This window comes from Homo sapiens, chromosome 3 (genome assembly GCF_000001405.40).
Source record: "Homo sapiens chromosome 3, GRCh38.p14 Primary Assembly".
NCBI lineage: Eukaryota > Metazoa > Chordata > Mammalia > Primates > Hominidae > Homo > Homo sapiens.
The window spans coordinates 183,248,615-183,275,983 of record NC_000003.12 but is presented as its reverse complement, the minus strand read 5'-3'; the positions used below and the strand labels follow the sequence as shown (position 1 = coordinate 183,275,983).

The following is a 27,369-nucleotide window of genomic DNA, read 5'->3' as shown; positions in this document are numbered from 1 at the left end:
TGTAAGAGTCTTAGTGTTCTTTAAGTTAGTTGATGAATTATTGTATTAACTTATAACAGGCCAGGTGTGGTGGCTCAGGTCTGTAATCCCAACACTTTCCAACACTTTGGGAGGCTGAGGTAGGAGGATTGCTCGAGCCCAGGAGTTGAAGACCAGCCTGAGCAACATAGTGAAGACACCATCTCCACAAGAAATTAAAACATTTAGCGGGATGTGGTGGGGTGCACCTGTAGTCTCAGTTACTCAGGAGACTGAGGTGAGAAGATTGCTTGAGCCCAGGAAGCTAAGTCTGCAGTGAGCTAAGCTGTGATCACACAGCTGCACTGCAGCCTGGGTGACAGAGCAAAACCCTGTCTCAAAGAGGAAGAAAAAAAACAAAAAACGTATGGCAGACTGCCAAATCATACTTATGAGAAACACAAAGGAATAAAGTTACAGCACTCAACTAAAGAAACAAAAATATCTTTATGTTCTTGCAAAAGAACTTTGAGAAAAGGCAAAATTAGCCACTGAGTTAATCAAGAGGTAGAATCTGTAAGACTACTGTTTTTGTTCTACCACCAGCTTTGACTAAATACCTTAAGATCACCAGTCTTTGCTGCAACTGTTTAATCTGTATTTCCTTATTCCTTTTTGATTTTATAGATTTGAGTTTTGCTGCATAACTAAACAAATTTGCTTGGTATATAGAAGGCTTTCAGATTTTGGGGAGATGATTAATTATTCAGAACCCTAAGTGGACACTGTACAAGGCATGGTTGCCTTCAGAACTTACAGCTCGTAAAAAAACACATGGAATGATTAGTAGGTAGTACGATAATATATGTGACTAAATATAAATTTGGGGAGAAGGGAAGGAAGAGATGCTTAAGGGAAGAGAGGAGGTAGAATTGGATTTCCAAAATTTCAACAGGTATAGGAAAAACAGTGCTCTTGGCAAGGGAAACCAACTTAAGCAAGGTATGGTCATGATTGACATTTGTGATAGATAATAGTGGCAGTGATAAAAAAAAAAAAACCAAGCTATAGGGAATGAAGGAGGAAAAGTTTACGTAGGGCGTTGAAAACCAGGTAGAAGAGTTTAGATTTGATGCTGGAGGCAGTGAGGAGTCTTTGAGGTCTGGAGTAAAGGAATATTGTAATGAAAGCTATGATTAAGGATTGTGTCACTGCAGAATGCGGAAGTGATCGGAAGGAAAACTGACTCAAAGAGACATCGAATATTCCTCTCATTATTATCACAGAATGAATAACCTTGCATATCAAGAGTTCTCTGGTTCTATTCTCATTGCAGCTATAGCATCCAATTAAAGTCCCCAAATATAGGTCATTAATTAATTCTTCCAAGTCATCACATTTTAGTACCAACTACAAACACTCCTACCACGACTTGCAAGTAAAAAGTTCTACCATAAACAAATAATTCGGATGCTTACAAGTTTTAAATATAGATTGAGTTACACAATATGCCATGTGAAGAACTGAGCAGGAATCAGGTAAAAACAGATGAGAGCACATTACATGCAACTATATCGAAGCACCAGACACTCCAAAGTAGGTGTAAGGGCATTCCTGATATTAAGAGATTAGGGTTAAAATTGACTGTATTTCAGACAGCTAACCGTGTCAAAGAAAAGGAAAACGTAACCTTTTCAAATGGTATCTTAAAGCGCTATAACTACAGGTGATTTCATCCCTCTCTCAACAGATTATAGTCATGCATTGCTTAACAATGAGGATAAGTTCTGAGAAATGCATTTTTTTTTTTTTTGAGACAGTCTCGCTCTGTCGTCCAGGTTGGAGAGCAGTGGCACAATCTCAGGTCATTGCAACCTCCCTTTCCCAGGTTCAAGCAATTCTCCTGCCTCAGCCTCCCGAGTAGTTGGGATTACTGGTGTGTGCCACCACACCTGGCTGATTTTTGTATTTTTAGTAGAGATGGGGTTTCACCATGTTGGCCAGGCTGGTCTCAAACTCCTAACCTCAGGTGGTCCACTTGCCTCGGCCTCCCAAAGTGCTGGGATTACAGGCGTGAGCCATGGCGCCTGGCCAATAAATGCATCTTTAGGTGACCACATCGATGTGCAAACATCCCAGGTTATACATACGAGAACCTAGATGGAATAGCCTACTAGACACCTAGATATATGGTAGAGCCTATTGCTCCTGGGCTAGAAACCTGTACAGCATGTTGCTGTACTGAATACTGCAGGCAATTGTAAGACAATGGAAAGTATTTGTGTATCTAAACACATCTAAATATACAAAAGGTACAGTAAAAATCTGAAATAAAAGATAAAAAATGGTACACCTGTATAGGGCAGTTCCATTACAATTTCATGGGACTATCATCATATATGTGATCCATCGTTAACCGAAACGTCATTTTGTGGCACATGACTACATTAGGAAAGAACATCTCCCCATCCAGATATTCCAGCATGAGTCATTTAACAAAAAGTACATCTTAGGTGGCTCTATAATGCAGAGAACATGATAATCCTATAGGAACAGGGCTAAGACCATGTAGTACATTAAGACAGAAGGAATGATTATATAAGCAATGTTCATGAAAAAGTTTAAATACACATCTCATGATAATTTTTCAGTTGTTTATTGGAAACTATAGATTTTTTTTAAACTCACTAATTATTTTGCCATACAAGAGCAAAATTCAAGTAATACAAATATTTAACATTTTGGTATAAAATTAACAATATGGAAAAAAGATGCAAACCAACCAAAAGGTAAAAAAATTTTAACAATAACACTGTGTATAACCATCTTCTATTCAAGTGACCATCCAAGCTGATAGTTTATTTTCCCTTTGTTGACATTTTTTAAAAAGATAGCCCTACACTGGAGCACCAAAAAGTTTTTTCCTTCTTTTTTAAAAGGTTGGAACCCTTTTATTTACAGATACTCTTCTCAGTACTTTAAGTAAGTGTGATGAAGGAATCATCTAGCAACTTCCTTCTTAGAAAAAAAGGAAGTGCCTTCATATTTCCTTGAAATTTAAACTTGTTCCATTCTATTCTAAGCAAAAATTAAAAGGACACAGTTCAGAAGAGCTCTTTCAGCAAATAAATAATTGTTTCACAAAAGCACTGCTGTAAACAAGATCACTTTGATGGCCAGAGACACTTATGTTTTCAACCAATGGCAACCTTAAACACTTCCAAGTATAGATACACAGGGTATATATGGGCAAAAGGCAATACATCATTAATCAATCAACTAATAAAAATTAATTATAAGCTTGTTGCTTGGTCAAATATGCTTTTGTTCTCTATGTTTTTTTAATTGGTCAGAAAACTTAAACTGTAATGATCTAAAACCCTGTATCTACTCTGAAAGTAACTACAACCTAGAATGTTTGACACTGTAGTTTTGACATTAGTTAAAAATTCTAAATTATCTAAGCAATGTAAACAAGCCTCAAATTTCAAAATAGAAAAAAATTAAAATTTCTGTAAACATTAAAAAGCTACCTGCTAAAAATTGTAAGTATCATCATTCAGTTGTGTATACTGAGAAATCTTTTTTCGTTTTGTTTTGCGTGTTTCCGACATCACCTTATTATATGAGACATCTGATTTTCCCTAACAGGTGCCTCTGCAGTCAAAGGCCTTAGAGTGAGTTCAGTCACTCTTGCTGAAGTCATTATTTTGGCCTTCATATAATCTCCCTAGCAGTAGACACCACCTAGTTCTTTCTGTAGTGAAGGGAGGTAGTGTGTATTATAGCCACATTTTTATCCTGCTTTGTAAAATAAATGTAACTTACTCTATTAGATCTCAGACACATCTCTTTGATTACAAGGAACATGCAGCTTTAAAAATGCTTTAACCCCAAACTGGCAACTTTTCTATCACTTTTTTACTCTGTTTTCAAGTTTGAAATATTTAGAAAATAAAGATCACCTCTGACAGTTATTGATGAAAAATAAATTGTTTTAGATATTATAACTTTGATGTTTAATGCTCTCAATTTAAAACTCTGAACTTGGAACAAAGTGCTGTGGTTTATAAGACCTTGTTGGGGAGGAGTGGGTTAATTTTAGTAATCAGTACAAGGATTTAGACACTAAGATTTCATTTTATAAAATTATGGAGACATTAGGCTTGTAATGTTCTGTCTTTCCATTTGAAGTCTCTCCATTATTATATTCCTCTATGTAAATTACATTCAAATAACAAACTTAAACACAGACCAATATTGAATATTTAAAAACCAGTTGAAAACGTCATTAAAATCAGCTTATTTGAATTAACAATGGTTTCTCCCTAGAGAAGGACCCTATGAGCAACCAGCTGCCCGTGTTATGTGTCATTTTCTAATACTTAAAAAAAAATCCATTAAAAACATATAAAGTATTAGGGCAACATTAATCACTTTTCTAAAAGTTCACATTAAACTTTGAAAAAAGATGCAAAAAAAGGTATTTTAATGACTCTAACACCAGTAGCTACATGGATGTGGTAAGACGTGATTTGTCTGTTTATAATAACATTGTACACATTTTTCTACATCTCCTCTTAAGAACAAGAGACTGTTTTACCAGATTCATGAACTTTCTCTCCTATGCTGACCTTTCCCTGCCCCTACTACCTCCACCAAGTGCTCTTTAACAAAAATAAACTTGCTTACCTGGTCTAACAATATATTCATTTCCTTGAAATGTTGTACTGTACGTTCATTTGGTATTTTCCAAAAGCAATTATTCTAACATCAAAACTTCTTAATAACATCTCTACACCTCAAGTATATATGTGGCATTACATGAGAACTTGAACTTCCCTTTAGTTTTGTTTTCACTAATAATATAAACCTTTTCTAAATACAAATTCTTTGAAATGAACTTAGGCAATGAAGTAGATAAGTGATATTAAACAGCTTCTAGAATCAAAGAAACATTCTGATGGACTAGGCTTTCAAAATATTTGTCTTTCGTCCTCATTTTACTTAGGGTATAGACGAACATTTAAAGGTTTTTTTCATCCAGGTTTGACTCAGTGACAGTGAAAACATACAACATTCAAGTACTATTAGATAAACGCAGCCCTACAAGGGTATGTGTCCACATAGCTAATTTTACAAAGGAGAATTATCTTCATTAATCTGCAGTATATTTGACCAAAAAAACCTTTGGAAATGGTTTTTACTTTAGGATCTGTAGCATTCTTCCAAAGGTCCTGGAGATCTTCTAAGTGTCCATGAGATGTCATCATTTTTTCATAGATGCAGGGATGATAAGGAGTTTTACCCTCTCCAGAAAAAAACACATGGTCCTGCGGTACTATCCCTATTTTATTGGCACAGAGGCCCATGAACACATCGTCTATGTAAAGACTTGAATTTAGTGTCTGTGATGCCTCATAGACTTTGGCAGCTACATCACCGGAGATTACATAGGCAGCTCCGGCTGTGTAGTCAGGGTAAGCTGGCCACTGGTACATTTCATAGGACACGTAGTATTTGCTGCTTTTATCTCTAATGGGAGGGGCACCACGATGAACACGACCAATCCAAAAGTCTTGAACACCAATTTGTTCTAAACTTTGAAGGTACTCAATCAGATTTGGCATGTGAATAAATATGTCATCATCAGCAGTCATAAGAAATTTGGCATGTGGACAATAGGTATTTGCCCAACTGAACTGCATAAGTAATTTCAGAGTAAGATTGTAGAAAGAATCAACAAAGTCTTGCTGAATTATATCATTGTACCTTTGATCTTCCCAAGCCAGTTTTCTTTGTAGTTCTTCTCCCTCCAGTGGATTAGGAGTTCCTAAGGCAAACAGAGTTTTGATGTTGGCATTCAGCTGAGACCGAACATAATTTTCATTGCCCCACGTCCTTCTAATTCCGGAACGTCGATCATAGTTTTCAGGAGCAGTTTTTACAAACAGTAAAAGGAGGACGTCTTGAGCTTGACACTTTTCCTTGTGGTTAATCAAGTATTGGTAGCGAGGCCCCGCTGAGGTGTGCTTAAGAGACAGGGTATCATTCACAAAGTCATAGCTATTTATGAGGTATCTGTAAGAATATGACTTCATATGGCTCACAATGTGATTATCGATTGGTTCCCAAAAAAACATGAGGCTCGCTAAAAAACAAGTAGCAAATAACTGAATAATTAACTGCCATTTTTTGACTCTTCTGCCACTAACCAACATTCTCATATCCACTCAAGTCTGTTTTTAGTTAGGATCAGTTTTAAACAGGCACGGGCTTCTTCGAGACCATAGAACTTCGTGTTTCGTAGAGTAGGTGTCCATCTTAATACATGTTGGTCATTAAAAATGGAAGTCTTCTTATTTTACAAAATAGTTTCTTTTAGTCCCATTTTTCTGAGATTGCGGAAGAATGGAACACCCTGTAGAACGAGGACACTGGCACGTCAAAATTCTTCCACACGGGCATCCTTCAGGAAGCGTGGTGGGCGGCCTCATGCGGCTCTCCCATGTGAATATTCCATGCCACCTATCACAGTCAAGAAGAGAAAAGAATCACAATCGCGTGGGTTACTAAGGTGCTGGAAAGAAACATATTCCTAATTCCTTAAAACCAAATGTAACCTGCCCTGTCTGCACAAAAGGTGATGAGGTAGTTAGTACTTAGCAGAGGCATACGGCTGTTTATTTTTTTTAAAGGAGGACAGGAAAAGGGAAAAAATTGCTTTACACTGTCTTCCCATTCAGAGTACAGAGACCTTTTTCTACTCCTACTCTTAAAAAAAAAAAAAAAAAAGCTTCCCAAACGGCTATAATCGTGTATACTTAAGTTCAAATTTCACAAACAGGTACATTCATGAATATACTGACTTGAATATGGTCAGGATGAAAGCAGATACATAGATCAAGGCAAAATCTTCAATGAAAAGAAAATTCACAGCAGTAAAAATCCATTAAGGCTTGCCCCAGACAAGGCAGGAATAAGAGTAAGACTTCTTTTTTCTTTTTTTTTAAATTAAGGTTCATAATCAAGGAGTCACAGTTTGCTCCTTGAAAGCAAACTCTCAGTAATCAAAATTACTTTGTGAGCCCCAGATTTATACAGCCACCTTCTTTCTGTACTTTTTTATTTGGAAATGCAGCAGGCGCCTCAATGTAACATGTTCTAAACTGGGAAGCAACAGAATGTAGCCAACAAGCACTGCCTTTGTAGTCAGGCAATTTGAACACCAATGCCGCCTTAGCCACTTACGGTTTCTTGTACCATATCATGCGCAGAAATTTGACAAATTGGGGTAAGACCGTTTAACTCGAAGTCTTTATGCAAATTAAATGGGAATATACATGACAAATGAAGGGAAGTAGACAGATGATTACCTAGCACACTAGGGTACTCAAGTGTCATTTCTCACCCATTCTGTTATCTTCTCCCCTAAAACCTGCTGTTCCTGTTTCTCTTTACATGTGCCTAACTGCACTTCTTTCATCTATGCCTGAAATCTGGAACCGCCCCCCCCATTTTCTCCACTTCCATTATTTAAATGTTTAATCCTGTGAATCACTTCTTCTAAATCTCTCTTCACCCCTTCATGTTATCATCACTTCTCACCCAGACTAGATGATCCCCTGGCCAGCCCACCTTCCACTTTACAGTCAGCGTGACCTTTGTAAAACTTGGATTTAACCACGAGACAAACTGAGCTCTTTTAACTCCTTCAGAGCCTCTCCATTAGTTAGTGACAAGATGAAGTCCAGCCTGGCCCACAGGACCCTTTAGGATCTGCCTCTCCAGCTGTTTGGTCCCATCATTTGACAATACCAAATTATTGGCTGAAAGCACAGTCACACTTGCCATTTCATATGCCCTGGTCTTTACACCAGCAGTCCTGTGGCCTGGCTACCTTCCTCCCTTGCTAATATGAAGTCTACAGACATCCTTCTCTGGGAAGCCTGAATTGGGATCAACCCATTCCCTGAAAGATGCTTCTCATCTCATCTGTATTGCCCCAGCACCTTCTTATACCCCATACAGAGACTTTTTAGGCACGATGTTGTGGACACCCTACACTCAGCATCCAGCTCAGTGTGTGACCCCTGGTAGGCATTCCCCAAATGTTGGTGCAAAGAACCATGCCGGGGGTGGAGCCACTGTTTACTCAAAGTGATGGTTACTGGGGAAGGATTGGAGGTCAGGACCCTAGCCAGGTGCCACCTCGGATGAGGTCCATGCCATGGCTGCTTACACCAGGTCCTCTCTTTTCCTCCACCACTGGGACGCAGCACCCTCCTTCCTCAAGAATTCTGTCCCCCGTGCTTACCACAGGTAAAACACTTCCTTGGATGGAAAGGTAGGCTCTCTTCCTCGGGGGTGGTACATTAGTTTCCTGGGCTTTGGACAGGACTGACGGGGAGAGAGCCGTGTAGGCTGAGCCACATAGCAAGCCCCAGGGCAAAGGCCCTGCTTTGTGCCCAGAGATCTGTTCTCAAGTCCCCCCGCCGGTTGACCCCTGATAGAAAACCAACTGTACACACTGAGTGCCCTGCAGAATGGGCCTAGCCTCAGCTGTGACACCTCCATCCCCACTTCAGAGCTTTCGGATCCAGCTATATTTCCCACCCCCATGATCACTCCACATCAGGGTGGAGGCAAAGGCCAGGTATGTAAAATGTCCAATGAGGACTAGAGATTAGAGCCAAGCCCCATTCAGACTTTGTCCAGAGATAATCAGTATAGGGCACACTTTATCGCCAAGGGCATTGATTTGAAAACTGCACGCACCACTTAGGAAGCCACAACCAGCATTTTTTTTTTTAAATACAGAGTGTACTGAGAGTAGTAAGAGCAAGAATCATTTTGTGAAACTTTTGGGTTTTCTGTGTGTGTGTGTTCAGGGGTGTAATGGGAAATGTGTTGCTGTGCTTTAATATCACAAAGGCTGAAGGCCGGCCATGGTGGCTCACGCCTGTAATCCTAGCGCTTTGGGAGGCCGAGGCAGGAGGATCACTTGAGGTCAGGAGTTTGAGACCAGCCTGGCAACATGGTGAAACCCCATCTCTATAAAAAATTCAAAAATTAGCCGGGTGTGGTGGTGCACACCTGTAATTCCAGCTTCTTGGGAGGCTGAGGCAGGAGAATCACTTGAATCAGGAAGGTGGAGGTTGCAATGAGCCGAGATCGTGCCACTGCACTCCAGCCTGGGTGACAGAATGAGATTCCATCTCAAAAAAAAAAAAAAGACTGAAACACTGCTCTAAGGAACAGATCAATATCAGTAATTTCCCCCTTTGGACAGGCTGGTCATTTCTGGACTGAATGCTCTAGAGGAAGGTGAGAAAGACGTCAGAAAATATCAGTTTCTGATGGTGGCATCTGCCTAAAATTTGCGAAATCACTTTCATTCAGGGGCCCACTTTCTCTCAGTTGCTCTCTCAGTCTTTCCACAGTGCTCATCCAGATAACAACCATCCTCTGAAGCCCCAAAACAAGGGCCCTCTGGCCTCCTCCACCATACATCTGGAAGGAACTGGAGGCTTAAAGCAAGGTAACAGAATTCTTGATGGCAGATTTTAAGCCAGCATACACATTTTTGAGAATTCTAGGAAAATTCTCAACTGAAAAGCATCTGCAGTTTCTACTCTAATTGACCCTGGGAAGGGAACAAAGAGGAAAGTAACCTTTGGAATCTCAGGGATCAAAGGGAAAACCAGCTGCCTATTCCTGAGCAGCTGTGCCCGGCAAGCTCCAATGCCAGCTTGCTTTGCACGTCCTACAGTTGTTTGCAAGTCTGAGCTTCTTGCTAGACTTTGTGCCCACAAGTCCAACTGCTCCCACACCCATTGTGCATCTATCTGACTCATTAAAGGTGCTAGTATCTCTCCAGTGAATCAGGCCTATTACTCACCAGGTTGGTGCATTGCTGCTGTTGCTTATATGGCTACTGTAAGCCGGCAGCTGGTTCAGAACCTTCATTTTGTCCCCACCCTCAACATGTACGTATTTATCTTATTTTCCTGTATTTTTTCAGCTGTTCCAAATTGACATCAACAAGTCAAAATGCTTTCTGAAAAATGACAAAAGACCTGTCACAAAGCCAACATCCCACGCTACTTATTTAGTTCAGCACAGCATGTGAAGCTGTAAAATGAGAATTCTCCCCCTCAGTAGTTTGAATTTTTTAGCCACCATTTACATAAATCACAACCAGATCTCACTGATAATACTGGAATGATAAGGGGAAGATTTAGGAAAGGTAAAACTCCTCAATACTTGAATGATAAGGGGAAGATTTAGGAAAAGTAAAACTCCTCATTTGTATTACACAGCTTCACTTGTATAACAAAAGAACATCTGAATTCCTCCAAATTGAACATAGTCACTAGGAGGCCTTTCCCAGCCTAAATCAAAAGCACTGCCCTCCCCCGGCCTGCGCCCGATCTAAATTGATCAATTACAAGTCAACACTGTTGCGCCCAGCTCCGGCTTTGCGGATGGAGACCACGCACATACAACTGGCGCTCACTCTTCTGGTTTCTTTCGGCGTCTTAAAGCTTCTCTAAAGCACAGCTTCCAGCTTTCCTATTCAGAGTGCAGGGGAGGGACCTAGGAAGAAGCCCACAAGCCTGCCGATCTGGTAGAAGAAAATGCTGGGCCTGGCAGGAAACAAAGCAAGCCCAATGCCGAATGCGCAGCTCAGCAACCATCCACAACAGACTGCTGTGGGTGCAGCTTCCTTTGTGTGCCTGCAGCACGGGTCAGTGGCCAATCAACAGACTAGAAACTCAAGGGTTACCCCTGTTTGGGGCCAGATTTATTGTGTAACCTTGGGCAACCCTCACCTCACTCTGATTCGGTGCTTTAATCTGCAAATCAGGGATGAATATCCATGTAATGTCACCGAGGGGCAGTAAAAATTATAAATGACTTCAGAGCCTGCTGAAAATAGGAAATAGAAAAAGCATGGGAGAGAAGAGGACAAAGAATTGCTTAGAAGAAAATATGCAGATATCTCAGATACAACCTGGGTTTGCTTCTATTTGGACTGAGAAGAAGGGACAGGTATTCTTAGTATTATCTTTTCTAATAGAGGTAGTCAGAAGAATAAAGAATAGAAGTAGGAACATCAGAAAAGAGGTGACAGATCCCAAATACTTTTCAGTCTAGGAGCCGTGCCCCTCAGTTACTCATAAGAATATTCTTTCACAAGAGAGCTCTTTAAACTTTTTGGGAAAAAACTAGTTAGAACACCCAAAGGCTACAAGTTTCCCTGCAATAATCCCTGATTGTTGTAAACCTTACCCCTGCTGTCAACTCATTTCTTTGTTGAGTCTACTTTTGTGATGCTGAGATAATATGTGAAACCTGCTATCCGTTTTGAAGTTTTAATCAAGATGGGGAGGTCCACACTTCTAAGTACAAGTTAAACAACCTCAGTCTCCAGTTGTTTCAATTAATCCTACAAGTATATGAGTATTTACTCTGCGGGTTCTTATACCAGACACAGTGGGAGATCATGAAGAAGTATTTTACAGTCTCCAATCTCAAAGCATTTACACTCTATTTGTGACAAGACTCGTAGTTCCCACATGAAAGCATAGTTCCCACAGACAACAATGGGCAAATCCTGGTAAGGTACAGTGTGTCTGCATGACACCAACCCCAGGCACAAGAGGGAAGTCTCTGGGACTAGTAGAGAAATCGGTGGGGGTTGGATTAGTCAGGATTTTAGGAGGGCCTGAGGACGACTAGGATTTAGGTGGCTGCAGGAGTAGGAACAATCTTTGTTTTAGACAAGAACTGTGTATGGCAGATAGAAGATTTGAAAGCAGAGAGGTGGGAACCTGCTTATGGAGAACCTTGAAAATCAGGTAGAGGAGTCTTAGGGGGGTACAGAAAGCAGCAGGAAGTCATAGAAATTTCTGGTTTTGTTTGTTATAGTAACTCCCTTGCTCAGTATTTATTAAGTTTGAGCAAGAGGGATTAAACTGGCTAATGGTGGTATGGGGTGAAATGCAGAATGCCTGAAGATCAGGACGCTGGTTTCTCAAGGGCTCACACTGATGCCGGATGAGGTGAGGAAGGCCTAGTCGAGGGTGGTGGAAATGGGGACGGAAGGAAGGCATAAAGAAGGCCCTTTCAAGAAAATCAAAGACCTAGCAGGACCTGATGAATGACCTGGGATGGCGAGTAAAGGAGGAAGAAGAGAAGTAAGAGCTAATTTCAAGCATTACCAACAAGGGAGGGAAAACTGGTTTCCTGAGTTAGGAGTGAAGGAGTATTTGATTTTAGACTCGCATTGAGTTCGAGGCGATGGAGAGACAAGAAGGTACAGATGTCCAGGGGGTAATAATCTAAGACGAGTTAGACAGGACTGGAGAGATCCAGGTGGGTACTCTGAGCATGAAGATGACTAATTTCATGAATGTGGATAAGCTCTCTAGGTGGAGAGACAGCAATGGGCCTGGAGGAAAAATAAACTCCGGAGAAGGAGAGAAAGGAGGAGTCAATGAAAAAAGGGCTCATTCATCAGAAAATTAAGATGGGGTTAACAAATGGGTAGAGTGGGTAAGCAGGACAAACAAGGCCCTGGTCTTGGAGCTCTAAGTGGGGAAGAGAGACATTGACCATATAGTTAGGGTTGTGCTGGGTGCTACAGGAGGGTCTAAAGATGGACCCTGCCCCACTTGGGGGCTGGTTTGAGGTTGGGGAGGGCAATTTCCAGGAAGAAAAGCAACAGTGAACTGTATTTCTGCATTTTATTCAGTAGACTTACACCACACTCAAGTCTAAGGACACCTTATGGTGTGTATACCATTTTGATCATGTGATCTCCCAACACTCAAGACACCTTATCAGCCAGGAAGTTGTTTACATGGCTTCACTGAGAACTGCATTTCTTCTGAGACCTCAAATTCCAGGATACTCACTCTATAGTACACTCACTCCTCAGCTGCAACTTCTAAATATTCATCGAGAACCTTCTGCCACCCCACCCTGCCCAGCAGTCTCCTGACCTTTCTTCCTCACACACCTCCCCCGTTTCAGATGCAGAATCATTGGACACCTTTGCCCTCCCACCCCAACAACCCCAGACCCCAGCGCCCTCCCATCTTCCTGTTCCTATGACACCTCCAGGGCTGCTGGGGAAATGGGACTTACCAGGCAGGCAGCGTCACCACAAATGGCACTATCTAGCTTTGAGCAGTTTTCAGTGCTACGTGACTGTTCCTGAACTTGTCCCGAACCTTCTCCCTTTCCCAGTCTCTTCAGCGGCCATGCTAAATCTCCCCCTCCCAGGCTCTGTCCCCCCCACCCTGAAGACTTCACCTCCTGTCTGCTTCCTAGAGAAAGGAGGAGACATCAGACACACCATCAGCTCCTCCTCCCCTTCTGGGCCGCCTCCTCATGGGCTCCCTAGTTCCCCAACACTCACCATTCCCTCTATAAAACATACTGATCGGGCCGGGACTAGGGGGAGACAAGGGAGCCACTTATTTTAGGTGCACAATTTAAGGGGGTACCAAAAACTCCGTAGTCAGTATAATATTTTGATGCAATATTTTTAAAAAATCAAAGTTACTGAAAAAAATCCACAGTGAACAAAATGTCAAAACGGTAAACCAAGACAGGCTCCAACCCTGCACTTATACAGCCCTGCCTCACCTGACTCCCCTAATCCCTGTCCTGCTGACTGGGGCCTGCTGGGGGCTGAATATTGCCAACTTCCATGGACATGTCTGCATTCTTAGTATATGTATGTATACCAACCTAAAGTATCATAAAACAAGACTAACCCTTAGTGTATATAATAAAGTATCATAAAACAAGACTAACCCTTAGTGTATATAATAAAGTATCATAAAACAAGACTAACCCTTAGTGTATATAATAAAGTATCATAAAACGATACTAATCCTTGTATTAGTATTATGATACTTTAATTTGGTATATATATATATAATATATATGCATTCCTCATTCCTTTATATCTTTTAAACTTTTATTAATAAATATTCATATATATATATATATATGAATGCCCAATTCTATTCTTTTTTTTTTTTTTTTAATGCTGGACATGAAAACCTCCTAAAACGGTTGTCTGAACCATGAATGGATTGTGTTCTACATAGCTGAAAAACACCAATCTAGAATGGAATCAAACCTCTACCATAAAATCATCCTCTCTTACTTCAATTATTGCCAAAACAAGAACAAACCCAGAAATTCTATATAAGAAGGCAGTATAATTTAATGGAAAGACTAACAGATTAGAAGAAAACTAAGAAATTTAATCATTCCATTCTAGCTCTGGTTTTTTCCTTGCGGGGGAAATAAAATACTGTAGTGAAACCTACATAGAAAACAAGACTGAACTGATAATTTTCTTCATTTAAAAAATCAATTTAATACTTGGAATATCCCCATGCATCATGAAAATATAATGATCCCTTTAAAAGTGATATGCTTAGAAAGTAGACTATATAAGGCTCCTCCGGTGAGTCACAGTTTTTAAAAAAATTTCCTTTATATCCTCATTCCTTTATATCTTTTACATTTAAACTTTTATTACTTAATAAAGTCCCACGTGGGAGAGTTTTTAGTTCCTGTCCACACATAACTAAAGGAAAGAAAGATAAAATCTTCTGTACCATCTTTATGCTGCATTTTGTTCTATATTCCAAGTATTTTTTCCTGGCTTCTTCTCGTCATCTGTTTCCTGTTAAGTATAGCTAGGACCAATCTTCAGAAGCCAAACTGCCTTGTTGAGAGAGATCAGGAATAAAAAGCCCCAGATTTACTGGAAAAGCTATAATTTGATCTTCCTAGATTTTTTCTTAATAAATTACTTACAATAATCGGTGTTAAGAAATATAACTAGTTACTATTTGGTACTAATTGCCTAGTCTGTTTGCTCAAGGAGGAAGGAGGCAATGTGAAATGTGAATTTATAACTCACATTTTAAGGTGAAACATTAGATATCTTTGCAACTGTTACATTTCCAATATAAGACCTCTAAAAAAGAAAAGAAATTCTACCTAATGGCTGTCTTCAAGTGTTTTTGTGCTGGGGCTTTAGCTATATGGAACTTTATTTCAAGCCATGGGCAACAATTAGAAGCCATTTGGAATTCTTATCCTCCTGCAGAGAATACATTTGTAGAGTTAGTTCTTGATTCAGTGTTAGTCCAAAGACTTTAAATTCCACTATGGCAATCATGGCTTTGGGATAGAGGGGAAAGCTGGGTAATAAAACCTACAATGTGAATCCAGGTACAAGATCTCCACCTATGTAAACTCACTTATATCTCTTTATAAGTTAAACATGGGTGTAGATCTGTTTCCTGGTTATGGGGGAAGTAAAGACGGGGAATTTCAAATGAACAAATGGGTAAAGACAGACCCTAAGTCTTTATTAACGGGACTGGTGGCATGGGATTATAGATTATTCTTAGATTTTAGGGAAGTTATATGAACTCAATAATTCCCAGTAACCAGTTTGATTATGCAAAATTTGAAACAAATAAAAAAGCTGACATATAAAGGAGGTCTCAGAGAGGTCAAACACTCGCTTTTCTGAGCTTGGCCCTCTGTGCTCATTCTTGCAACACACTTGTTTGGGCTGACACGGTTGCTTGCTCTTTTAAATATAACTGTTGTCAGTTTTTTTCTTGCCTACTTAAGAAACTTCTCCTTTTACCCAGTCTAGCAACAGTTACTACCATGGGTATGTCTACTATATACCAGGCCCTGTTCCAAATGCCTTACGAATGTGGTAGCTCTTTAAGCCTTACAACAACCTTTGAGGAAGAAAGGATCTCCCTCCACATTTTGCAGAAGATACTGAGGCATCGAGATACCGAGTTAACCATGTAATGTCAACAAATTCCAGACCCTGTGGCAGCTTAGAGCAGCTTGTGAGTCCCAGCCCCATCCCTGTGTTCCTCACCTGCCCTTTTTCCTTGGCATGGGCACAGGTGTTCCTGCAGTTCTCATCGGGAGGGGAGGGCAGGGGAGGAGGTGGGCAGGGTCAAGAGAAGCAACCCAAGATGGATGAGAATTTGCTTCACTGCCAGAAGTGTGAAGTCATTTCTGTTTTGCTGCATTCTGTTAGCACTGTTCTTACTTCCTTCACTAACACACTCTTTTTCAAACCTTCCATTTCAGTTTTCCCTCCTTCTTCTTCTTGGTCTCACTAGTACTAGACAGTGGGCAGAAGTGACCTCATCAGTCTGTGTCCTTTGGGTGTAGTCTTTCAACCACAAAAAAGATTCAGGGACTCCAAGGATGGAGATCCAAAGTCGCAGGAGGGTGACAAAAAGAGGTGGGGTGGAAGGAAGGAGAGGAGGCAAAAAAGTACCGGACTCAGGGAGGATGTTTTAAGCAAGTATTGGGTAAAATGAAAGGCGAGGAGTCAGACACAGACACCCTGGCCTGGAAAAGCTGCCATTCTCTAATGAAAAAGCTGTATCAAAACCGTTTTCATGTGTAAAGGCAGGGAAAATCTGAAGATATATTCAAAGTCAGCTCATAAAATGACACGTAAGAAGTAAACCTGATGAAGAGATGTAAACCAGTTATCCATCATAAGGTAGATGAATAAAAAATACAAGTTCTCCTATCAATAAGAGTAAGAATTATTGCCTAAAATGCATACCCAGCCCTTTAATGTGATATAAAACATGCTACAAACAGCCACTACTCCTAGCCCCACCCCTGCCACCCCACTAGGACTCCTCAGACACAATGACTGCTTTATTTGAGTCACTAGAAGAACAACGTTCACTCAAGCTAGAATTTTTCAAACATTCTTGAGATTTGTTAGGCTGGCTTTGCCCCAGAAAAACTGACTAAGATACATTTGAAATGTTGCATTATGTTGGGTGGGCTTCATCCACAAATCTGTTATTAGAAACCCATATGCAGTTGGTCGTGTACGTTCATGGGTTCCGCATCCTCAGATTCAACCAACTACAGATCAAAAACATTTGAAAAAAAAATTTATGGTCGTGTCTGTACTGAACATGCACATTTTTTTCTTGTCATTATGCACTAAACAATACCGTGTAACAATTGTTTACATAGCATTTATATTGCATTAGTTATTATAAGTAATCTAGAGATGATTTAAAGTACATGGGCCAGGTGTGGTAGCTCATACTTGTAATCCCAACTACTTGGGAGGCGGAGGCAGGAGGATCATTTGACTCAGGAGCTCAAGGCTACATGCCTCTGCACTCTAGCCTGGACAACAGAGTGAGACCCATCTCTAAACACATAAAAATAAAAAAAAAGAGTACATGGGAATATTGCATAGGTTATAATATAAATGCTGTACCATTTTATATAAGGGACTTGAGCATGCATGGATATCAGGGGCGGGGGGGTGGTGTCCTGGGACTAATTCCCCAAGGATACTGAGGGACAACAAACTATGGACCCCAAACCAGGTGCTCTGTGAATGAAGAGCTTTCCTCTGAGATGAGGGAAGCAGGGAGAAGATGGAAACTGGGGAAGGCTTTGTGGGAGAGGTGGCAAATGAGCAGGAGCTAGAACAGAATTCAAATGTGGGTTTGGGGAGGAAAGGAGGAAGACACAGCTCAGAAAGAGAAGTCTACAGCCATACCCCGCTGAATGCACCTGATCCTGGCTGATCTCAGAAGCTAAGCAGGGTTGGGCCTGGTTAGTACTTGGATGGGAGAAAGAAAAGGAGAAGGGAGGAGTAGGGCAAGGAGCATTTCAACTGGCTTAAAGGGTGAAGTGGGCCGGGTGCGGTGGCTCATGCCTGTAATCCCAGCACTTTGGGAGGCCGAGGCGGGCGGATCAGGAGGTCGGGAGATCAAGACCATCCTGGCTAACATGGTGAAACCCCATCTCTACTAAAAACACAAAAATTAGCTGGGTGTGGTGGAGCATGCCTGTAATCCCAGCTACTCGGGAGGCTGAAGCAGGAGAATCGCTTGAACCCAGGAGGCGGAGGTTGCGGTGAGCCGAGATGGCACCATTGCACTCCAGCCTGGGCAACAGAGCGAGACTCCGTCTCAAAAAAAAAAAAAAAAAAAAAAAAAAAGGGTGAAGTGGAGGGAGCAAGGAATAAGACATTCCAAGAGAGACTACGCAGGAATTTTTTTTAAGCACATAAGAGAAAAAGTTGTGGCTTGAGTGGGGAAATGTCAAATCACTTAGTTTGGCTAGAAGTTAGGGTAAAGGGAAAAAACGGAAAAAAGGAGATCAGAAAGTTTAGCTGTGGTTGAATAATAATAAGAAAAACCAGGATTCAGAAACAGGATGACGATATAACCCAGTGTCTGCCTGTTGCCCAGTGGCAGTTCCTACGTCCCATTCTGGACATTGTCTTTAGAAGCAACACTTGATAGAGGGTTTATAACACAGAGGTACAAAAAGTAGAAGATGGTGTAAAACAAGAGGTATATGTAACATGTTTCTGTCTTGGTGGATCAACATTTAGTCTAAGTTAACTACCATTTATTAAGTGCCTGCCCTATTCTAGGCATTACAGCGGGCAGCCCTGAAAGTAGGTTAATACGTATATTTAACTAATTCAACAAACATTAACTTATCACATACTGTGTAGTAGGCCATGGGCAGGATAGGATGCTAAAAAGACTTCAGAGATGTTTCAGGTGTAGCTCTTCTATCAAAGGGTCAATAAATATTCCAGTGCAAGCTGGAATCTGGACCTGATGGTGGTGAAAGAGAGTAAAAAAGCCGAGAGTGTTTAAATGCCAACAAAAGTAGATGTATACTGTGCCTCTCCATTTACTAGTCACATGAGCTCGACTTGTCTCTAAACCATGTACCAGTGTTTTCTCAGGATCATTTGAGATAACTTGTTGACAATGTCAGTCCAGATTAGATGTTCCATCTGTGCAAATTTCCTTTCTCTAGAATCTGTTTGTGTAGCTTTACCAGGATGGGTTAGTTAATGGATGGCTGATTTTTTTTTCAGGTTTTTTTCTTTTTAGAATACTGAGCTATACTCATAATATGCTTCTTCTCAAAAAACATTAATTAGGTAGGAGTTTTTAAAAATACTGATCTGATGGCTAAGGGCCATTTAACACATCGCAAATACTGTTGAGGCAGAAGTATCATCCCTAATTGACTGAATATGGTCCTTCTCATGTTCCCCATTATTCCATTAATGGAATAACGGTCTTCCGTTATTCTTGTTCCCACAAGCACTTAAAATACATTTCAATTAGGATGACACAGGTATAAGATTATATGGTCCTCTAAAGTAAGAGAAGGAAACTTGAGGTGAGTCCATCCTTGAACTTACTTTGCTTAGAGCACTATGAAAAAGTTATAGGAAGTTATAGGAAAGGAGCAAAAGAGTCAAATCTGAAATATTAGGTGGATCTTAGGCTGTAGAACAGTATTTTGAACTTGAACTTTTGGGCTTTGTTGCCTACACACTTGGTAGAACATTCTCTTTTGTAGAGAACTGGCTTCTAGTGTTAAAGCCTTCTATGGAAGAGAAATCTGAATAAGTTACATATCAAAGCCAGCAACTGAATTTGTAGAATTAAAATGTTTCTAAAAAATCGCTTTTTTATTCAAATCTTGTATCTCACCTGATCAAGTTTCTTATCCTTTAAATATAAAGATTCTTACATCCCCTATATATATGTAAACTAATACATAATAATTAGATATTGCATACCGTAAGGAAAGTAATTCTAGATTTACACTGTTCTGGTTACATCTTCGCTCACAGAGATTCGATATCAAAGGGCAGAGCTCTTGTAATTTACTGTGCCTCAGTTTCTGGAACACAGATACAATGAATTCCTCTCCTTACAAGGTTATTCTAACAATGCATTAAAATAATGGCTATGGAAATATTTCAGAAAAGGCATAATGTATTATAAAAATTCAAAGCTGAGATCTATTTACTTCAGCATATATAAAATTCCCCCTGAATAGGGGACATTTTGTTACTCTGAGAAGAGACAATTTCCCTCTGAATTTCTCCCAGTTTCTTCCTGATACCTCCTGTGTTCTGAAATGCAGATTCTAGTGCAATTGGGCCTCAGAAAGAACTGGACCCTTTACAATGTGAAAGTCACCAAGTGCAATGATTCTAGCCAAAGTGACCCATTTTAAAAGATGACCCATTTCAAAACCCATGAGTTATTATTCAAGCTGTTCTATTTTTGAGAATTAGAAAGTTTTCTTTTTCTTTTTTTTTTTTTTTACAATCTCACCATTTGAATGTCTTTTATGAAAAGAGAAAACTGATCACCATTTTAATGAAATACAATGTTTCATTTTTTACTTGATGGGGCCTGCACTTTATTTTGAAAACTCTTCTGCACCTTCTGAGTTTTCTCTGGGCAGAGCAGTTATAAGCATCTCTACCTCCTACTCATCCTCATCTCCCACTTTCTCAGGAACAGCTGCTCTGAGCTTTGGCTTGGGCCTTTCCTGTGATAACACTGGTTCTACCTTAGAGCCTTGCAGGGCCGGGAAGGGTCAGCCTGAGTCAGCCTCCTCCTCAGAGTGCTCAGTCAATGCTCAGAGCGTGTGCGGGAGGATAAGGAAGAGTGAGAAGGACAAGCAGGTTAAGTACAGAATGGAAACCTTTCTGGTATTGCGTTTAGCTTGCTTTAAAAGCAAAGAGTTGGCCCCAAAAAGCAGCTTTCACCTCCTCACTTGTGACCAGATAGAAAATCTACCATAAATTTATTTTGAGAAAGTTATAACGTCTGCTGCTGATCACTAATCACCCTTTCAGAAAGTTCAGGGTGGAATCATTTCGGTGCCACCACTTAATACAACTACCTTCAATCATCCTTTTCTGGGTCAACTTCGGCTTTTCACATTCCTCTCCCATCCCCCACAGGGAACAGGCAAGGTTTCCCAAAATAAAGGCACAGACGCACAAATCCAATTCTGATGGATGTACTTTCATCAGATAATTACCATAAATATGAGCCTCAGGCCACCATCGGCCACTGTGCGGTTACCACATCGGTGTACCTTTAACATGATCCATAACCTAAGAAAACCAACACCGGCCAAGAATGTACAGGGTGTAGTCAAGAGTCGAGTTGAAAACTGTTACTTTTACCTATATGGTATCCAAGCAAGCAATTGCCTCTGTCACATCAGGATTCAAAATGAAATGAGGCAGAGTCAAAGGAAAGAGTGGCCACGACCTCCCCGCCAGGGAGATCTGCGGCTGCAGTCTCCCCGCCTGCCCACTTCCCTGTCCCCATTTCCCCCGCCAGTAACTCGCCGAAAGCGTTCTCAGGTTGGCGGTTTCTTCTTTCCAGCCCGACACGGGCTTTCGACTCGAATTCAGCCCTCCAGCCGGAGGCGGGTGGCCGCAAGCCTGGGGCCCCCGGCCGGCAACCGAATTGGTGGGCGCGGCGTTCGCCTCGCGGCTCCCGCGCACGGGCCTGTCCCGCCACCGAGGAGCCGGAGCTCCTCAGGGACGGGGACCCGCAGGCCCCGGGAAGCCGCCCCAACCGGAGCTGCCCGGCCCCCGAGCCTACCTGCCGCACCTGGGCGGCGGCCCGGCCTGGGTCCCAGCCGCTGGCCACCCGCGCGGGCAGGCCGGAGGGAACAAAGGCGTTCCGGGGAGGGGACGAGCCTCCTTCTCCGCCGCGCTTTCAGAGGGCGGGCTGCCGGGGCCCGCGGTGGGAGAGGCCTCCCCGGCTTCCCGACTTCCCGGCGCTGGGCCGTGCGCGGTCCGGGCCAGGGCGGCGGGCCCCGATCCGGTGTCCACGCCAGCCACGCGCCCCCGGCCCAAGCGCGCGTTCCCACCTGAAGTCCTGGCGCCACCCGCCGGGCGAGGGCCGGCGTGCCCTCACCTCCTCGCCACTCTTCTCCTCCAGAGACCTCGCTCGGCCCGGAGTGGGCAGACTCGGAGCCTCCCGCGCCGGAGACCGCGAGCCGCTCGGCCGAGGAGGCGCGGCGGGGCGGGGGCGGGGCGGAGGGGCCGGCCCGCAGCCCCCAATGCCGGGAGCCCGCGCTGGAGACCCAGGGAGCCCAGCTCGGGGCCGCGGCACGGAGAACGAACCATCCGTGGCCTGGAGACGTATCCCGCCGAGCGGCCAGAACTTTCCCCATTTAGCGATCCGGAAAGGAAGCCAACACTCCCACCCAGAGAGGCCTCGGCCGCGGAAAGATGCGGCCGCGGCACAGCCGTGTTTTCACCACGTAACTGACCACAGACTAACTCCGCGCGGAACCACCGGCCCAGGGCGCTCCGCCAAGAGGCGGACTGTGCTGGCCTCGCGGGCCCTACGCCCAGGGAACGCCGCGGTTCCTCCCACACGGGACACCGGTTCCGCAGCGCCGCGGATTAGGATGGTCTTTTACTTTCCGAGCGGGAGCTCTAACGCAGGCTCAGGCGGGTCTTGTTAAAAGGTTTCTGGTCACACCACTTATGCGTGGAGCTCTGGGGGCCTCAGTAACAAAGTAAGGAAACTTACAGCAAACTAGGGCTGCACTGCCGCTGTCCGTTTCTAAAATACGAGAAGAGGGGGAAACCCCGCCCCAGGCCAGCTTCCCAGTGACTTTACCTCCAAGTCCAGCTTCATTTCAAGGGCAGTTTAGAGCGAAACTCACGAAGTTCAAGCCCAGCTCTTTAAATGTCCAAATCGGAGGTCGGCTTTCCTTCCCGCATCGGAGCTAAAGTCGCTGGTCTCAAGAACAAAACTTGCGGGCTTTAAATCTTGGGCGAGGACTGGACGGGCAGCGCTGGACTGGGCTCGCTTCCCCGGCGGGATGCGGGCTGTATGCGGGCGGGATGGGGGCGGGCCCGGGCGGGGGCGCGAGGCTCCCAGCCGCGCGCCCCGCACTCTCGGCGTCACGGCCCGAGCCCGGCCCCGCCCGCCAGCCGCCACCCTCCCGGCGCGTAGGTGAAGGTGATGGGCCCCGCCCCAGTTTGTTCTTGTCTGTAGATGAGAATTCCAGGAAGTGTTTCCCTGCCGCTCGTCAGTTAATTGCGATCACTTACTCAAATGGCCAACTGGAAGCCAGAGTGCACATGAATGTCCTCTTTGAGCTATTTTCCTCCTTTAGAATACTTCATGCAGGTAACCAGACAATATCGAGAGATGCGGACTTCTACTCAACGAGAGAGATTATAAATGAATCCTGGATGCGCTTGATTTCTTGTTTCCCGCATGTTGTTAGACCTCTCCCTAAAGCCACAAAACATTTAACGGAGATAATATTTTGAGCGATTCTGTTATTGTACATATTTCAGAACATGACAGAAAAGCAAAAGATTAACCCAAATACTTTAGTAAAATAAAAGCTTTGAGTTTGTCGTAAAAGGAACAAGACAGGTAATGAGTTAAATGTATGATTGTCGAATCAGGGTTTAAAACAGTGGGGCCAGCAGACACGGTGGCTCACACCTGTAATCCCATCACTTTGGGAGGCTGAGCCGCAGGAGGATTGCTTGATCCCAGGAGTTAGAGACCAGCGTGGCCAACATAGCAAGACCCCATCTCTAAAAGAAAAAACACACACACAAAATGAAAACTGTTGTTCATTCAAACTAGATTTTTAGGAAGTTTTTAAATTGCTTTCCTTAAGCTGGTCAGCATCTTTTAAATCATGCAGTTCTTTTCATATGCTGCCTACACAGGGCATGGCTCAGCATCTCCCAGACTGTGGCACTGCATGTTCATCAGACCACAGACAGAAATATTTACATGTGTGATTTGCAAAGGAGTCATTGACAGTGACCCACAAATAAGCTGATTCATTGTTAATACAGCACTAATGACATACCTTCTCTAATAAAATGCTGACTGAAATCCCACATGCATTTCCCCCAGCCATCACATGTGTATGTTGTATATCTGTGCAAATATTCAATTACAATTATATTCCTTTCAGATCATTTGGAGCTAGGTCCATGTGTCAGTATACATATGTTCCACATACATGAGCACATAGAACTGTACCCACGAGAAATACAAACTGACCAAAACAGTGGTAGACACACATACAAATCACATATTCACATCATACTAGATACAGATAAACACACCAGATAGATAAATGGTTTCAAAAGTATGTCTGGAGATTGGAAATACGATGCAAGTTTTTTGGTGGTAGGAGGGAGAGATGAGAGGGTGTGAAGGAGAGATAGGCAAGGTCAAGTAGTCCAGAATGCCCACTCTGGGATCCACACAAGCTCAGATCACACATGCGAGAGGACAGGCAAGTCCCCTTTGCTTGTTAGGGAAGATTTCCTAGAGCAGCCTGGCTTCCTGTCCCACCCAGAGAGAGGGGAAGAGAATGACAGATTTGATGGTATTGATGGTGCTATGCTCAGTTACTTTTATCAAGAGGGAGTGCATGAAGATATTGAGATGTGTTAGAAATAAACTTAGGTAATAATAATGATGCTGACTTGGCCAGCATGAAGAAGGAGGACCGTGTTGGCATGCTTTCCTTATCCAAGTAGCAGCTGGTAAGCAGAGAGCCCTGTGATTAGATCTATACATGACTTTGGAATGACCAAAATCTGCATGTTAGACTCGGCAGGGATAGATAAGGCACAGAAAGAGCAGAGGAGTAGCAGATTTAGGAGAGATGATCAGAGAGTAAGGCACATGCATCATTAGTAGTGGGGAGGGGAGACTAAACCCTGAGTACAAGAGAACCTGGGAGATGGTGGGAGCAACAGGGGCCCAAGGAAGAGGCCTGTGTTACTAAAATCATGAAAGGAGAAGCAGGTCTGATAACCGAGTGGCTTAACACAGCTGAAGTGTAGCAGCAGTATCAGGCTTGACCTGTTTAGCGAAATTTGTCTTTCTGGATTCTGTTAGACCAGATTTCCTCACAGGCCCTATAGGGAACCTGTCCAGTGAATCTGTGAATTCAAACACATCACGGGCCATGTATTCTGAAGCAGGCCGGTGTTCATTCAAGGCCTGGGCTGTTAGAGAGACTCTGGTTGTTTCCTGACCTGGCTTCCTACACAGGATCTCTGGCAAGTTAGCAAACTTCTCTGTGCCCACAGTAATACCTGCCTGCAAGGGTGGGTGAGGATTAGTGCAATCGCAGTGACGGGTGGAGTGCTGAGCTCAGAGCCTGGGCTATCCCAATGGGCGGATGAATGGTCAGCATCCTTGAGCCCATCACAGGTTGCAGAAAGCTCCTCTCACCTGGCAGAGGTAGGCTCATGCTGTGTCCTGTCATCGTGCTGTAAAGGATCTGCTGTGTTTCACACCTCTGGGAATTTCACATCTGTTGATACAGCATCACCATTCAGACGATGCCCTATCTCCTTGGCTCCGCCGCCTCTTTCTCTGCCCCCCGGCCACCTCCCACCACACGCAGCCTTCCTTGGTGTTCTCTTCTCCGCACACATGCTCCTTGCTGATCTCACCCATTGTCTTTAATCTTGACTTACATTTCTTTCTTTTTTTTTTTTTTCTTTTTTTGAAACGAAGTATCGCTCTGTCACCCAGGCTGGAGTGCAGTGGCACGATCTCCTTTCACTGTAACCTCTGCCTCCCGGGTTCAAGTGACTCTCCTGCCTCAGCCTCCCGAGTAGCTGGGATTACAGTCATGCACCACCACACCTGGCTAATTTTTTATATTTTTGGTGGAGATGGGGTTTCACCATGTTGGCCAGGCAGGTCTTGAACTCCTGACTTCAAGTGATCCGCCCGCCTCGGCCTCCCAAAGTGCTGGGACTACAGGCGTGAACCACCGCTCCCAGCCCATCCTGATTTATATTTCTAGCCCAGATTCTCAGCTTCAACCTTAAGTGTCTTTGGGTATGTCACATCAATCTTCAGCTTAATATGTCTAAAATGGGATGTATAAATATGGGATTGGGAAATGGTTAATGGACAGGACTTGAATGCCCCAAAAGCAAGAATCCTCCTTTTTCTCACCAGTGACCCAGCCCAGGCTGTTATGTGTCAGTAACAGTCAGTAGTATTTTGTCACTGTATAAGTTATATGTCTTTTGCCTCAACTAGCTGTGGGGAGGGGAAAAAAGTTGTATGTCTGTTTTCCCAACTACTTTGAAAGTCTTCAGATCTCTTGTGGGTGGACACCATGCCCTGCTCTTCTCTGAGTCTCTCAGAGACTCCCCGTCTCCTTGCCACCCTCACAATAATGCCTGTCACAGAATGAATGCCTGGTAACTGCAGGTTGAATTGAATTTTTGCATAGCACTTCCACACTCATCAATTATTCAAACTTTTGTTCCAAGAATCCCATCCGTAGTACAGTGGCCCTGTGTACGTCTCCTTTGATGCCACCAAGGCCCAAAAGCTGACGCTGGAGACACACTAGCTCTTTGCTGCAGCTCCTGCTACTGCTTCTATGGCCTGGCACCCTTCAGCATCCTCCCTCAATTCCAGGGCCTCAGCAGTTTGATGAAACCACACTAGGTACACCCAGAACTGGAAGGTGAAGGGAACTGACAGCACAAGGCGGCACTCACCCGCAGGCCACTCTGAGAACCCGGTTTCTTCCATTTTCTTCTCTTCTGCATGGGGGAGGGGCCTCCTGGAACTGATCATCTCCTTCACACCAACGCATAAGGAAATCTCTTATGTGCCATCTGACACTCAGTGGGGCCTCTCAGGGACAGGGACAGGGACAGTTTCGGAGGGGCAGGCCCTGCTGGCTGGGACCCTCCCTGGTCCAGTAGAGCTGTGCTGTCAACCCTCCAACAGCCCCTGTGAAAATGGCCTGATACCAGCCCCTGGCAGTGAGTGTCTCAGCATTTCTTCTCCTTTTCCCAGCAGCAGATCAGACACACACTCCACACTCCCGGAAGCATACAGGGTTCTGTGCAGGTCCCAGAGGGCTGCCTCTAACTCAGCTCTTTCTCTCCTACTCAGGAGGGCACATGCAAATTGAGTGAGGGAGTGACATTTTTGTAGGAACAATCTTGAGTGCTGATTAACACATATTTTAAAAGACAATTGGCACTTAGTTTAGTCACAGCTATCTAAACTAAGCAAAACAATTTGTGTCCTGTGATGGGGTGGTACAGGGGGAAGGAAGACAATTACAGCCCCTGGAAATGATTATTGACAGCAAGATGGGGGCTACATGGCTGGCCCAGAGGCGATCATTTGTGTTGGGAATTTTGCACTTAGGTTTGGTTGTACTGATATTTATGGAACAACTAAAATGTAATTTTCTTTTTTTAAAAATATACATTTTTTTTGAGACAGGGTCTCGCTGTGTTGCTCAGGCTGGAATACAATGGCCGGTCACTGCTCACTCAGGCTTGACCTTCTAGGCTCAAGCAATCTTCCTGTCTCAGCCTCCTGAGTAGTGGGGACTACAGGTGCACCCCATCACGCCCAAATAATTTTTTTTATTTTTAGTAGAAATGGAGTTGCTCACTATGTTGCCCAGGCTGGTCTTGAACTCCTGGGCTCAAGC

The 27,369-nt window shown here is 43.3% G+C and overlaps 2 protein-coding genes, 1 long non-coding RNA gene and 1 pseudogene across 15 annotated transcripts in view, besides 2 other annotated features; 2 read left to right on the top strand and 2 right to left on the bottom strand.

Moving 5' to 3' along the window:
- The window catches only part of MCF2L2 (MCF.2 cell line derived transforming sequence-like 2), a 250,579-nt gene that overhangs the window by 152,636 nt on the left and 70,574 nt on the right, over positions 1-27,369 (top strand). The window contains exon 16 of one of the 7 annotated variants that reach the window (XM_017005944.3): positions 60-3,501. The exons of the other annotated variants lie outside the window; for them this stretch is intronic. Coding sequence (XP_016861433.2) covers positions 60-123 — 64 coding nt within the window. The 3' untranslated portion in view covers positions 124-3,501. Of the gene's footprint in view, positions 1-59; positions 3,502-27,369 lie in introns of those variants that run through there. 7 annotated transcript variants of the gene reach the window in all.
- Positions 2,599-22,731, bottom strand: B3GNT5 (UDP-GlcNAc:betaGal beta-1,3-N-acetylglucosaminyltransferase 5). Of its 7 annotated transcripts, XM_047449057.1 has the most exons (5): positions 22,512-22,731; positions 18,544-18,656; positions 10,410-16,926; positions 9,860-10,018; positions 2,599-6,486 (listed from the first exon to the last, which is right to left on the bottom strand). In XM_047449057.1, the coding sequence occupies exon 5, from the start codon at positions 6,183-6,185 to the stop codon at positions 5,049-5,051; it is 1,137 nt and encodes a 378-aa protein (XP_047305013.1). In that variant the 5' UTR covers positions 6,186-6,486; positions 9,860-10,018; positions 10,410-16,926; positions 18,544-18,656; positions 22,512-22,731; the 3' UTR covers positions 2,599-5,048. The 7 variants fall into 7 exon arrangements, with proteins under 7 accessions (XP_047305013.1, XP_011511529.1, XP_047305015.1 ...); XM_011513227.3 differs by lacking the exons at positions 9,860-10,018; positions 10,410-16,926; XM_047449059.1 differs by lacking the exons at positions 9,860-10,018; positions 10,410-16,926; positions 22,512-22,731 and adding an exon at positions 21,751-22,163.
- Positions 9,056-10,255: an enhancer, noted in NCBI's record as "CDK7 strongly-dependent group 2 enhancer chr3:182983517-182984716 (GRCh37/hg19 assembly coordinates)". NCBI's record gives its function as "activates an origin of replication core promoter dependent on BRD2, BRD4, P300/CBP, MED14 and CDK7 cofactors, with strong dependence on CDK7, by STARR-seq in HCT116 cells {active_cell/tissue: HCT116}" and the evidence as "EXISTENCE:reporter gene assay evidence [ECO:0000049][PMID:35650434]".
- Positions 12,178-12,882: an enhancer, noted in NCBI's record as "NANOG-H3K4me1 hESC enhancer chr3:182980890-182981594 (GRCh37/hg19 assembly coordinates)". NCBI's record gives its function as "activates a minimal SCP1, AML or CMV promoter by ChIP-STARR-seq in primed H9 embryonic stem cells {active_cell/tissue: H9 hESC(primed)}" and the evidence as "EXISTENCE:reporter gene assay evidence [ECO:0000049][PMID:30033119]".
- On the top strand, positions 17,568-17,684 carry RNA5SP151 (RNA, 5S ribosomal pseudogene 151; annotated as a pseudogene).
- Positions 23,429-26,767, bottom strand: LOC124906310 (uncharacterized). The gene is made up of 3 exons (XR_007096189.1): positions 26,414-26,767; positions 25,119-25,200; positions 23,429-23,449 (listed from the first exon to the last, which is right to left on the bottom strand). It is a non-coding gene; the product is annotated as an uncharacterized LOC124906310 (long non-coding RNA).

Bases quoted from the DNA above. Each gene is read 5' to 3' on its own strand.
- B3GNT5 (XM_011513228.3), bottom strand. From the start codon at position 6,185: ATGAGAATGTTGGTTAGTGGCAGAAGAGTCAAAAAATGGCAGTTAATT.